Source organism: Homo sapiens, chromosome 5 (genome assembly GCF_000001405.40).
Source record: "Homo sapiens chromosome 5, GRCh38.p14 Primary Assembly".
Lineage (NCBI taxonomy): Eukaryota > Metazoa > Chordata > Mammalia > Primates > Hominidae > Homo > Homo sapiens.
The window spans coordinates 147,447,111-147,460,278 of record NC_000005.10 but is presented as its reverse complement, the minus strand read 5'-3'; the positions used below and the strand labels follow the sequence as shown (position 1 = coordinate 147,460,278).

Genomic DNA, 13,168 nt, shown 5'->3' with positions numbered 1-13,168 from the left:
CATCAGACTATAGTATCTCTCCCCATGATGCCTAAGGCAGAGCTGTCAAGAGTTTTTCCCCTCGTATGAATGTAACTTCACTTGTGTGTCTAACATGCTGGGCCAGAGATGAAGATCAGCATACAATAATTTGTCCTCATCTCACAACCTCATCTTTTTTTTTTTTCTGAGACGGAGTCTCGTTCTGTCGCCCAGGCTGGAGTGCAGTGGCTCGATCCTGGCTCACTGTAAGCTCTGCCTCCTGGGTTCACACCATTCTCCTGCCTCAGCCTCCCAACGTAGCTGGGATAACAGGCGCCCACCACCACACCTGGCTAATTTTTTGTATTTTGAGTAGAGACTGGGTTTCACCATGTTAGCCAGGATGGTCTTGATCTGCTGACCTCATGACCCGCCCACCTCTGCCTCCCAAAGTGCTGGCATTACAGGCGTGAGCCACAGCACCCGGCCTCTCGCAACCTGATCTTCTAACTCTAGCCTTTGGCTTTGATATGAGTTGCCATCAGAGCTGGATGGAGCAGGTCAGAATCCTTCAAACTCAATGACTACTGAAGAAAAGAATGAGAAACTCTGTCTAGAGAGACGTAGGATTGCATACCTTTGCTTAAGCTAGTGTAAGCTTGATTTTGGAATCAGCCAGTGGGAATACTTTTCTGTGGCTGTAATTTTTTTTTTTTTGGTTTATGTGTATCCGAGGTTAGTTTGTTTACCAGTTTATTTCTGTATTCAATGTGTAGACATCTAATAATAGCAGGTGAATCATCTCTTTGGTTTTCATTCTGTAACACTGGAGTTACATGACTGAGATTTCCTTTGTTTGGTTGTAGGTAAAAATTAATGGACCCAAATGCTTAATTAAGGCAGCTCTAAGATTAAATGTTTATTTATGTAATATAAGAACAGCCTATATATTTCACATAGGCCTAGTATATACATTTTCCCCTTCAAAACTCTTCTATATTTATTTTAGAACTTTTTTTTCTGAATTTTTCAAATCAGGACCAAGGGGCAAATGTTTTCTCATATTAAGACAGCAACATATAAATGTATTTTTAGAAAGTAAAAAATATTTTTAATGGTCAAAACTAGGTAAATGGCTAGGTCCTTATTTTAAATGTTTTGGAGATTAAAGGACAGAGAATATTCTGGACTTTCTCCCCTGCCTGTTCAGTCAATCTCCCCCTTTTCCCATTGATGCGACTCCACTCCAAGCACTGTAAAAGAGCTGGGGGCTATAAAGATAAATAAGACATAGTTCCTGGCATAAATAAGTTTAGCAAAAAAAAAAAAAAAATCAAAATATTAAAAATAGTGTTAGGAGTAGCTGCCATTTAATTAACTTGACTTAAGAGCTTTATGAGAATAATCTTATTTAATCTTCAGTATGTTCACTGTCCTTTATTCCCCTATACACTGTGTTCTCCCTGCTCTCTTAAGGAGCTTAGATCCCTTGCTTCATCCTCAGTTCCCTTGAGTTTTTCTCTCCCTTCTCAGCACTCATCTTAAAGAGCCCACATTCAATTCCACACCCTACCTGCTCCTTGCCTGCACATATGCTACTGTAAGTGGCTGGAGGAACATCCACAACCAGGCTTACTGGTCTCTCTTTAAATTTATGGTCACCGTTTGAAGGGAATCTTTACTGCTGCTATTACCGGAAAGGGGTCTCGATCCAGACCCTAAGAGAGGGTTCTTGGATCTTGTGCAAGAAAGAATTCAGGGTGAGTCCATAGAGTAATGAAAGCAAGTGTATTAAGAAAGTAAAGGAACAAAAGAATGGCTGCTCCATAAACAGAGCAGCCCCGAGGATCTGCTGGTTGCCTGTTTTTATGATTCTTTCTTGATGATATGCTAAACAAGGGGTGGATTATTCATGCCTCCCCTTTTTAGACCATCTAGGGTAACTTCCGACGTTGCCATGGTATTTGTAAACTGTCATGGCGCTGGTGGGAGTGTAGCAGTGAGGACGACCAAAGGTCACTCTTGTCGCCATCTTGGTTTTGGTGGGATTTAGCCAGCTTCTTTAGTGCAACCTGTTTTATCAGGAAGGTCTTTATGACCTGTATCTTGTGCCGACCTCCTCTCTCATCCTGTGACTTAGAATGCCTTAACCATCTGGGAATGCAGCCCAGTAGGTCTCAGGTCTCGGCCTCATTTTACACAGCTCCTATTCAAGATGGAGTTGCTCTGGTTAACACGCCTCTGACACTGCCAGATAATCATACCATATTTTCCTAGTTCCTTTACTGTCCTGGAAAATGATTTTCATATGAACTCCTCCTCCCTCTCCCAATACCTTCTTTCCTAGATGGTCTTAGCTGATGGCAGAAAAAATAGATGGAGTCAGAAGACAAATTCCATGAAGTCCTTCCCGGAAATATACCCAGCTACTGGACTCTGTGCAAAGATATTCTCCTCTTCAGTGACTGTGGAGGAACCAGTCTTGTTTCTAGCTAAGGGCAAGCCCTCCACTCAAACAATAAATGTCACCTGAGTTGCCTATTCTGGAACTTTCATAGAGCCATTGACCTACTTCTCTCCTGCCTCATAAAGTTTCCTCTCCTGACTGAATCAGCCTCATTGGCATAAAACTAATCAGTGCCCAGGTACCAATTCTACTCTACTGAGCCTTTCTTTGGCCCATATGTTGCTCTGAAATTTTTGGACTGTATCATATTAGCAAAGTGATTCTTCGCCATCTTAATTCATCTGCTCTGAAATCTAGAATCAGGAAACTCTAAAAATGCATAGAGAAGCAAATATAGATACTGTAAAATCTACATTCTAACTACATGCCCTTTAGTTCCAGAAAAGTTCTTCTTCACCTATTTAATCTTTCTCCAGATGCAATTTTAAAAAATTCTTACATTCACTCCCCTAATAATTATTGAGCAATTTCTATGGACAAGGCTCTATTTCAGGCATTCAGTAAATAAACAGACACATCACATACCCTCAAATAGCTTATATTCTGGTGATGGGGAGAATATTCAATAATAAATTAATATGTCATGTGGTAAAAAGTATTATGAAGATAAAGCAGGAAAGGGGGCTAGCAAGTGACAGGTGGTGTAATAAGGATATGCGTTATTATTATATAATAAGAAGAATACGAAGTAAACTCCATGATATTTGGGACTTATTATTCACCTCCATTGCACTAACACTGATAAAAATAATGGCACATAGTAAGCACAAGGTAAATATTGTGTGAATATTTTGAGAATGAATGAATGAATGAATGAATGAATGAGTGATGGTGAGGAAGAGAACCCAGTTAGGAGGTTACAATAATTCAGGTGATAGCCAAATGATGGCTAAACACAGGAAGAAACTTTGCAAATCATGAGAGGAGACCATAGTCTGGATACATTTAAAAGATAGAACTGGCTGGGTGCGGTGGTTCATGCCTGTAATCCCAGCACTTTGGGAGGCTGAGGCAAGCAGATCACATGAGGTCAGGAGTTCGAGACCAGCATGGCCAACATGGTGAAACCCCCTCTCTACTAAAAGTACAAAAATTAGCCAGGTGTGGTGGCAGACACCTGTAATGCCAGCTACTCAGGAGGATGAGGCGGGAGAATTGCTTAAACCTGGGAGGCGGAGGTTGCTGTGAGCCGAGATCACCCCACTGCACTCCAGCCTGGGCAACAAGAGCGAGACTCTGTCTCAAAAAAAAAAAAAAAAAAAAAAAAAATAGAATCAGTAGCATTTGCTGAAAGATTGTCTGTGGAGAGTAGGGGCATGATTGAAGGAGAGAAATCAAGGATGGTGCCAAACCTTTCGCCTGAGCAACTGGAATGGAGTACCCATTGATTTAAGTGTGGAAATCTGTGGTGTGGCAGGTGTGGTAGCCAAAATTAAGTTTCTTTGGGACTGTAAATCAAGTCTATTTCTACATCTTCCTCTCCCTCTTTCAGTTTACTGAGATACCTAAAGCCAAGCACTGCTGTGTATCCAAGGAAAACCATTCAGAGTCATTCTACTGTGGAAAACATCCATACTGGTTCCATTCTTCTCTCTCTTGGCCAGACACAGAGGCATCCTGTGTTGATGGCTGCCTTTCTTATGGCCAAGGAAGGCTTTTTCCTTCAAATTCATCTTAGAGGCTTTATTTTGGTTCAAGAAAGTGAAAGATAATTGAAGGGGATGAAACAAGGAAAATAGTGTTTGTTGTACATTTCTGATGATGGCAACAGCTTGAATCAATTTGCTGTGTTTCTGTGTCTGGCTGGTCACAGCAGCCGGATCCAGAAGAACACATTGCAATTGCCATTCAGCATGGCCTCTTGCATGCAAACCTGACCTCAAAAAAGCTTAACCAAGTCTTGTTATTTGAAACAACACACACACACACACACACACACAATCAAGTGATCAAAAATATGGTATAAATCTATTTAGTAAAGAGTGTTCTGGATTATAATGATGGTAACAGAGGAGATAACTCAGATGTAAGAAAGGCAAAGAAACTTGTAAAATTAAAAAAAAAGGCAGCAGCAGCGGTATTTTTTTTTTAGGATTGTAAATGTCCCCTACATATTTTTGCTTTTCTTGAGAAAAATGTGCAAGATCCTTTCCAGCAAGTTTGGGGCAGTAAAATCTACAGGAAAGATGCAGAGAGAGAGAGCTCTGCTGGTTTCCATAGTATGTAGTTAATTCTCCTTTTACTCTGTTCTAAATATAATCCTGCTCATTTGCATGCCAATCCCCAGAATGCTTTGTAATTTCACAACTCTTGGCTAGTGGTCTCAGCACTTACGCTTTAAGAACAAAGCAAAATGTTTAGGGCGTGCCTTTGGCCCAGTCTTTTTATTCCCCCTTGTGTTTTGCAAGAGTATAGGGAGGTGATCTTTGCTTGGCATTCATCCTCCTTTGCAGAGTATCACAGAAATAAAGTGGAGACTGCTGTGGACTTTTCTTGCGAAGACTGCATTCAGTCCAATTAACCATAAATAACCAGAAGCTTGGATTAACTCACTTGAGAGGGAGTGTTTAAGGGGGGCTTTGTGTGTCCTTGGATTATGTGACCAGTCTGGTTCGTTTCGGGTTTATGGAAAGCCCAAGCCGGAGTATTCTGTATTCTCTTTCTGTGGATGCCTTATATAGTTTCTTTATCGCAAGCACGTCTTCACTTTAATGACAAGATGTCTAGAATTGCCATCAGTGGGCTGCCTTATGGAAACGTGAATTCAAGATTCAACACAGCTTTAGTCATGCTTAGTGACATACAGGATTTCTATTTAATAGAACATTAAGATTGACAATTGGGGAGCGGTGGGAAAATTGTCTTCAAAGGGTTTTATAATTTTTTTTGCATAGCAAGTCTTTTTTTGGTTCCTTAAATTTTATGTTTGGAATTATTTGTCGTGAGAGTTGAGGAGCTCCCTCACCCCCAGCCACCACTCAGACCCCACCCACAGTGGCCTCTCCAAATATGTCTCCCTTTGGCCGTTTGATTTTAGCAGGTAGCTAAAGGACAATGTATTCCATCGCCGAAGGGCCATGGTTTTGCTTGTAATAACATATAAACCTTCGTCTGTCAGCCCTGCCTAAAGTAAACTCGGGATTGTGAGCAGTGCACGTGGTTCATTACTGATGGGGAGCAATAGCAGTTCTACTCCAAATCCATGGCTGCGCACCAGGAACGTGTCTGGGCTACTGCCTTCCCACTCCACAGGTGTTTTCTACTTTTTACTCACAGAGCAGCATTCATGTTCTTTCTTTGATTCTGAGACTCAGTCAGGCAGTGGAGTTTCTTTAACAAGATACTACTTGGATATTTTTTAAATACAGGGAATGGTTGAGTCCACTGCTACCGTGCCCCTTGCAGCCTCTGAGAGCGAGTCACGGCTTTCCATTTTCTAATGTGTATGTTCCGGGTCTGGGGACCCCAGCAGGCCCGCCAGGTTGCAGAGTCGGACCAGTCTCCGGCGTCTGAAGGGGCTGCGCCGCTGTTTACCACCCCGCGAGCAGCAGAGGCGGCGCCCAGCCCTCCTCTCGAACAAAGGCGCGGCCGCCGCATTCGACCCGCGCCATGGCAGAGGAGAGCGGGTGCCGGGAGGGAAGCCGGGAACCGTCTCCATTCTGAAACTAGGGCGGGGAAGGTAGGAGATCCGACGAGGAGCTGGCTGGGGGCGGCGGCGCCCGCAACTCGGCCCCGCGGCCGGGAGGGCGTAGCTGATGCTCCCACCCCCGGGACTCAGCCTCCGCTCCCGAAAAGCCCCTCGCGCCCCCTGGTGGCTGTGGAGCAGCCTGACTCCGCAGCACTCGCGAATCAGAAAAAAAAAAAAAAGAAAGAAAAAGAAAAAGTGGGTGAGGCAGATGCAAAGAGGAAAATCAATAGGGATAAGAGAGAAGAGGGAGGAGTCGCAGATCAGCCATTCTTGTCTTATGGGGTCCCAGCTGGCGCAGCAAAAGAAAAAAAAAAACAAAACCCGGGCGTGAACGCGGGTGGAGGAGGGTGTGCGTGGGGGGGCGGGGGTGAAAGGGGGACCGGGGAGATTTACTATTGTCTCTGGCAGCCGCCGCGGGAGCCCGGGAGGGGGGCGGAGGCGGGCGGAGGCGGCGGCGCGGCCAGCGCACCATTCACTCCACCTGATCTCGGGGCGCTGTGCGCTGAGGAAGGCGCGGGCGAGCCGGAGCAGAAGAAGGAGGGAGGGAGCCAGCCGCTGCAGCCACCACCGCCACCATGTCCTACCAAGGCAAGAAGAACATCCCGCGGATCACGGTGAGTCCGGGCGCCGCTGCTCCCTCCCTCCTCGCTCGCTCCCTGTCCGCTGCGCTGCGGGCGGGGTCGGCTCGGATCCCGCCGGCTTCTCTGGCCTGGTCCCCGGGGAGGGACGGAGACCCGGGGTCCGGGTGGCGGAGCGCGGCGGTCAGTCCAGCCGGCGCCACACAGACTGAGCGACCCTGGGGTTTGGGGAAAACAAAACAAAGAGGAAACCCAAACAGTGGCACGGAGAACTTTGGATTATTTATCCTCCCTTCCCACCGCCGGTAGTTCCCCAGGAGCGCGGGGCTCGCGGCTCTCCCAGGACCACTGCTCCGCCTGGAGTGTCGGTTTTTGCCGCCCCAGGTTGAGGTGTGCTTTTTGTCTAAGGATCCTTTTGGCCGTGCTGGGTTTGGAGAGATGACACCTTTCCCCAGGGGTACTTGGCAGCCCGACCGCGCCCCTCTCCCAGCTCCAGCCCCACGGCTCTGACCCCTGCGCCGCGAGGGTGGCAGGGTGTCTGGACCACCTGTCCTCGCCGTGTCCCCTTCTTGCCTGCGTTCAGTCCGACTCATGTTTCAATGTATCGTTTATGGGACTGGACAGCTAACGTGGCTGCAGTGGGAATGATCAACTTTATGTGTGTGTGTGTGTGTGTGTGTGTGTGTGTGTGTGTGTGTGTGTGCCTTCGATGCACTTTACATTTTTCATTTCTTTTCTCCCTCACATCAAAGAAAAGGCCGAGTTTTTAGAGCAGATTTTAGTTTACTGTCGCGGGCGCACGCTGTATGCATGCAGTGTTCAACCCATTGTGTGCAAGACGGAGACACCGCGACTGGCGGGTGTCAGATGCGCTAGGGTGTGCCTAGGGCGGGGTGGAGAGGGGACGTGCCATTATCAGGTACAGAAGCCGCGTCTTCACCGGCGCCCAGCAAGGCTGGGATTCCGTGGTGATGCGCTGTAATGATGCCCCCAAATAGTAGGCACATATGGCAGGCTGGGATGGTCATTTACAAAAATAGAATAAATAAAAACTAACGTTTTTTAGTTTAGCACGAAGCAGTGCGGTTGTGCTTTGTCTATAGTGAATTGGATGGTGTGTGTGTGTGTGTGTGTGTGTGTGTGTGTAGTGGGGGAATGGGTGGCTACTCCATCTTTGCAAGCTGAACAAAGGAAGTGATCAGCTGGCCCCTGGGAGGCTCTGCAGCCGCCCTAGGGCAGAGCTTTACCTGCCACAGTAGTTGATTTGCAGGGTCCGCCAGGTTTTGTTGTGGGCATGAGTCTGTTTGCACTTGTTCCCTTAGGCTTGGAACATCCTGTGCGTTTGCGATTGAGATGCAGAACCTTCCCCTCTGCAGGCAGGAAGAAGCCTCCCTTGCGCCTACTATGTTTTATTGTCAAATGGTTTATTTCTTTTGCCGCACCATACCTTTTTCATGCAACTGAGCTTCACTTCACACAAATGCACCCCACCCCTACCAGCTTCCCAGCTGGTGCTGGGGAAGAAACACTCCCCAGGGAGAAGAGTTGAGGCCAGCAGGGATCCTTTTGCCTGGTAGAGGCTTTGGGTTTTAACTGATCCTCCTTTACCACTACCTGATGGCATTCACTTTCCATTATTGAAGAAACATCGTGGGTCTTTTACAATGCACAGTATTGTCTAGTGCTGACTGTCTTGTCTTTCCAAAGAGCTGTGGAAATTATCATCCAAAAAAAGAAAGAAAGAAAGAAAAAAGAAAAAAAGAAAGAGAAAAAGCTGATTGGGACAAAAGCTCAATTTTTACTTATCTCCCCAACTCAGGAGATTGAACCACAGCTCTCATGCTATTCTATGCTGGAGGTATGCCACATGTATCTGCCACTTGCTTTAACATCCAGTATATATTTGCTAGTTTTCCTGTTTGGGATAGGCAGAGAACCGATATTTTTTTTCCCTCCTAGACTGCAGTGGTTCTTCTTCTGGACTCAGCCTGTGACATGACATTGAGAGCCACACCCATTCTTCTAGGTATCATTTAAGCCACCTTTAAGGAAAGATAAGGAAATTCAGCATTGATAACTTGCCTTAGGAGCTCCAGTAAATGTGGTTGTGCCCCAATCCCAGGACCAGATTTGCAGTGGATTCCCTTTTGTCTCTGGTTGAATGATCTTCCCTGGGGTACATCCTTCATTTTCAGTGCGGCTTCCATCCTTTCTCTCTGTGTGTGGGGCGTGGTGCTGCATAGCAGCCTCTGCCTTGAAGCTGGGGCTGTATCTCCAGCAGCTGTTAACAGGAGTAGACAGTGGTTGTGAATTTCTTCAAACCAGGCTGCCTTGAATTCATTGGTTTTAACAACCAAGGGGATGAAAAGGAAGGGCATGGCAGGAGGCGGATGTTGGTCTTTGGGGATAAGGAATCCATTTGTAAATTTTCTCATGCTTCGTTTTTGCATTTCCATGAACAAGGAATCTATTTTAGAATAAAATATTTATGTATGTTTGCATGTCTATAGAAGATTATAGTTGTCTATATACTGTGAAGGTTGAGGTACCTTTTCTAGATATAGTTGTAAATATAACAATGTAGACATAGATATTCATGTGCAGCAAATATGATTAAAGATCTAAGTATAACATATACCCCCTACCATCAATTCTAGTACATTTTAAAAATGGTAACATGGAATTTGAATTGAATTTTCTATGCCACCTCTATTCCTTTCTGTGAAGGCAGCCCCACCCAGTAGCTGAAGTGTCACTACAATCTGAGGACTAGTGGGGGCAGTCTTTCTTGGCCTGGTACCCTTTGCCTTCCTGGGAACTACTTTCTACCACTGTTTTGGGTCCAAGATAGGATTGGTTGTTTTTGTTTTGTTTTGTTTTTTCCTCCTTCCACCTATTTTTATTGCCCTCCTGAGATTAAGGCATTCTTACTATCCTTGTTTTATTGGTTTCCTGTGGTAGGGCTGGAAATGAGGGGGAGATTTCTGTGTCCCTGTTGGAGTTGGCTCGGAGTAGCTACCTTTCTCCCGAGTAGCTCCCAAGACTTCAGATCTTCATTGTCCCCTCTCAGGGCAGCTATGTGGATTATCTGTTCTACCTCAACACAAGCCTTGCTTCTAATTATCAGAGACTGGCAGTTTTGGGGGTTCGACAGATCACAGCAAGGGATCTTCACTGTCTCGCGATGGGCCTGGTTTACAGATACATAATGATTATCACTTAAATGGATTAATTGATTTAAAATTGTTCCTAATAATAGCCCATACCTGTTGAGTGTTTATTTTGTCAGGTATTATGTTTTTTTATGCCTTACATGCCTTGTTTCGTTGAATCCTTGACTCAGTCAATACTGTCTGAGAGGGACTATAGTTACCCCTATTTTACAAGTTAAAAAAATCTTAGAAAATAAAAAATAATTTGCTCAGGGTCAGAGATTTAGTAAGTGTTGGAGGCCAGACTTAAACCTACATACCCAACTGAAATTAAAATGCATGTCCCTCACCATCACACTCTTTTTGGTGTCTCCGCCTCTGCCTCTCTACCATTGCTGTTACTTGACATTGGTAGGGCAAATGGTTTCCAGACCATCTGCACTGCTGGGAGGCATATTTTTCTTGTCACTGTCAACAAATCCCACAACATGGTCTTTCCTACCTTTTATATTAAGTACATATAAGAACACGTTTTTGAAATAGTAGTCACCATCAATTCTACAGGTAGGAACTTTTGATAAGTTACAGTTATTGTTTTCCTCTGACATACGTTACAACTTGAAGCTGACCACAGGAATGGGCCAGGTCCTAATACTTAGGCACTTAGGTTCCAGTGTTTTATATGTATTTTCATATTAGAACCTCCACAGATAATCATTTCCCAGTTAAGGAAGGACATTGAAATATGGTTAGGTGAAGTCAGTTATTTAGAGTTGCCTGGTGAGAATATTGGGGCAAAGCTAGCAATCAAAGCTAGGCCTTGTCCAGCTTCAAAGCTGAGGCTGCCATGGTGCAGCAGCTGCCTCTTGGAGGCACGTGCAGCTGAGATGTTGAAAGTTGTGGAAACAGCTCCAGAATTCCCTCTAGGAGACAAATTATAGAGAACTGGTCTTTTCCAACCACTGATTGGATTTCTGTAAACATTGTCTTGCAGATAATGCATTTGTTTTGCATTGAAAGTTTGGTTGTGTGTGTGGTATTTGGGAATTGCTGGAAGACGTATCCCCAGTTAGGAATACAACTTGCAAAGTTCGGTCTAGGGCGTGTAGTCAGAGCTCTGTGATCTCCCTTGAAAGGGTGTGATTGTGAGTGTAGTAGGTGCCACTGGAATTTATTTTCTTTTTCGGAGAAGTGAAGGGACCTTATGAACTGGAGTAACACCCAGATCTCTGCAGCAGTTAAGCTGGGGGCCTAGAACTAGACTAGAGCTAGAAGAAGGGACAAATGCAATCCGACCTTTGGATCTACACATTCCTCTTGCTTCAATGGGTGTCATTTAAGAATTAGAGGAAAATATTAGGAGATGGAGAACTAGAGTTGAGGAAACCAAAAGAAGAGGAGTCACAGAAAACCAGCTCTCTCTGTGCAAGGCATCTTGAAAGGGGAATTCCAGAGTCAAAGACAGAAGAAAAATAGCAAACACTTAAGAATGGAAAGCATCTTAGATATCTGATCATGGAAGTCTCAGCCCAGTCTCAGCCCTGCCTAAAGTGTTCATTTGTTATTTTAAATTTTGAGCAGGTATGTGCTGATTCTTAGCCAGGTTATTCCTTTTCCTCAAATACTAGGAGAAGGCCTCAGGTATAGAAAGAGCCCTGAACATTAGTAGCTGTGACCAAGCCAGCTGGGCATTGGGAGGAATTCTGAAGAAATAGATTTCCTGAGAGAATTCAAGTCTATGTGGCAAGACCCTCAGTTTGTAAATAAAAAACCTTCCTGCTTATTGCACTGAGCTACTAAGAGGCTCAAATAGTGGCCATGAAAGTGGTCTGTGAACTCTGGATGTGTTCAAGAGAGCAGATGCTGATTTATATTTATAAAATCTCAACTACTTTGGAATGTGGAAATTAATAAAAGAAGACTTGACAATGGTCTGGTTTAGAAAGAGACTACTTAGGAAATGATTTTGTAAAAATAAGAGTTTTCCAAAACAAAAATAAACAGCGTTATATAAAAACTTTTTTGTTGTTGTTTAGTTACGTTACAGTGTTCCTAAGAATTTTATGCTTGTCATCTCTGACAGTCCGACACAGGCCATTAGACCGCCTTTGAACTTTTGATACAGAGACTCTCCCTTAACCTGAATAGAGGGCATTTTCCTAAATTAATTGAACTCTGTATCATTTTTTAGTCCTGATCACCTTCTAGCCTAGAGTGACACATGTTATGAAGATCCTTTCAGCTGTTTCTTCATAACTCGTTTTTTAGTGGCTTGACTGCTCTTTTTTCTTCAGTTGGAAAAAAATAAAACTAAATTTGAAAAGAACAACAACCAAAAGAAAAAAAAACCCCTCCTGTCCTAATGGGCCCTCTGTTCTTTACCTATTGACATATTTTATAGGGCCATTTGTGTTTGCTTATTACATTTGAAAAACGGCAAAATGTTTACAGTAGTAGGAATGAGTCTCTAAGGTGTAAATGTTTTCATCCTTTGATGAAATCAGTGCATCTAATCAGAAGGAGACAGGAAATTTGAATATGTCATTACCTCTTGTGATGGATATATGTGTTTGTTTGTTTGTCTTTTGTTTTTTGAGACGGAGGTTTGCTCTTGTTGCCCAGGCTGGAGTGCAGTGGCGCGATCTCAGCTCACGGCAACCTCCGCCTCCTGAGTAGCTGGGATTACAGACATGTGCCACCATGCCCAGCTGATTTTGTATTTTTAGTAGAGACAGGGTTTCTCCATGTTGGTCAGGCTGGTCTCGAACTCCCGACCTCAGGTGATCCACCTGCCTCAGCCTCCCAAAGTGCTGGGATTACAGGCGTGAGCCACCGCACCTGGCCTGTGATGGATGTTAATAGGAGAGGCGAACTGCTCCCTGGTTACTCCCTCCTCAAATCAATGCTCAACTTTGCCTTTTCTCCCACTTTCTCTAGGCAAATGAGAAACAAATAAGAAAGACCTTGGAAAACCCAGAGAAATCGACTCCTGTATTTTCAGACTCCTTTTGCTGTGAAGTCCCTCTTTCATCAACATATGCCTATTTCAATATACGAAACACAGGTATCCTCCCATCCCTCAAAAAAAGCCAAAGCTAGTTTGGTGGAATAGAATGAACCTCTCAATTTGGCCTCTTCTTTTGGTTCCAGTCCCTACATGAAGCCCAGTATAAAAACTACTTTTCTTGAGGAACTTTCTTCTGTTAATTAGATTGTAGGGAACACAGTGGTAAGAAATATGGGACTAAGCATGGTGGAGCTATTATTGTTAACTGTCTTAGTAAAAGCTACATGGATTATCTCATTTAACTCACAGCAACTC

General features: G+C 44.3%; 1 protein-coding gene across 3 annotated transcripts in view, besides 2 other annotated features; it reads left to right on the top strand.

Moving 5' to 3' along the window:
• DPYSL3 (dihydropyrimidinase like 3) overlaps positions 1-13,168 on the top strand; it is a 119,261-nt gene that overhangs the window by 49,790 nt on the left and 56,303 nt on the right. Inside the window, exon 1 of one of the 3 annotated variants that reach the window (NM_001387.3) lies at positions 6,587-6,730. The exons of 1 other annotated variant lie outside the window; for it this stretch is intronic. In NM_001387.3, coding sequence (NP_001378.1) covers positions 6,692-6,730 — 39 coding nt within the window. In that variant the 5' untranslated portion in view covers positions 6,587-6,691. Of the gene's footprint in view, positions 1-6,586; positions 6,731-12,787; positions 12,911-13,168 lie in introns of those variants that run through there. One more of the 3 variants, XM_011537574.3, reaches the window with a different exon arrangement.
• Positions 3,831-4,332: an enhancer, noted in NCBI's record as "NANOG hESC enhancer chr5:146835510-146836011 (GRCh37/hg19 assembly coordinates)". NCBI's record gives its function as "activates a minimal SCP1, AML or CMV promoter by ChIP-STARR-seq in primed H9 embryonic stem cells {active_cell/tissue: H9 hESC(primed)}" and the evidence as "EXISTENCE:reporter gene assay evidence [ECO:0000049][PMID:30033119]".
• Positions 6,051-6,190: a silencer, noted in NCBI's record as "silent region_16489". NCBI's record gives its function as "represses an Ori minimal core promoter by ATAC-STARR-seq in GM12878 lymphoblastoid cells {active_cell/tissue: GM12878}" and the evidence as "EXISTENCE:reporter gene assay evidence [ECO:0000049][PMID:35858748]".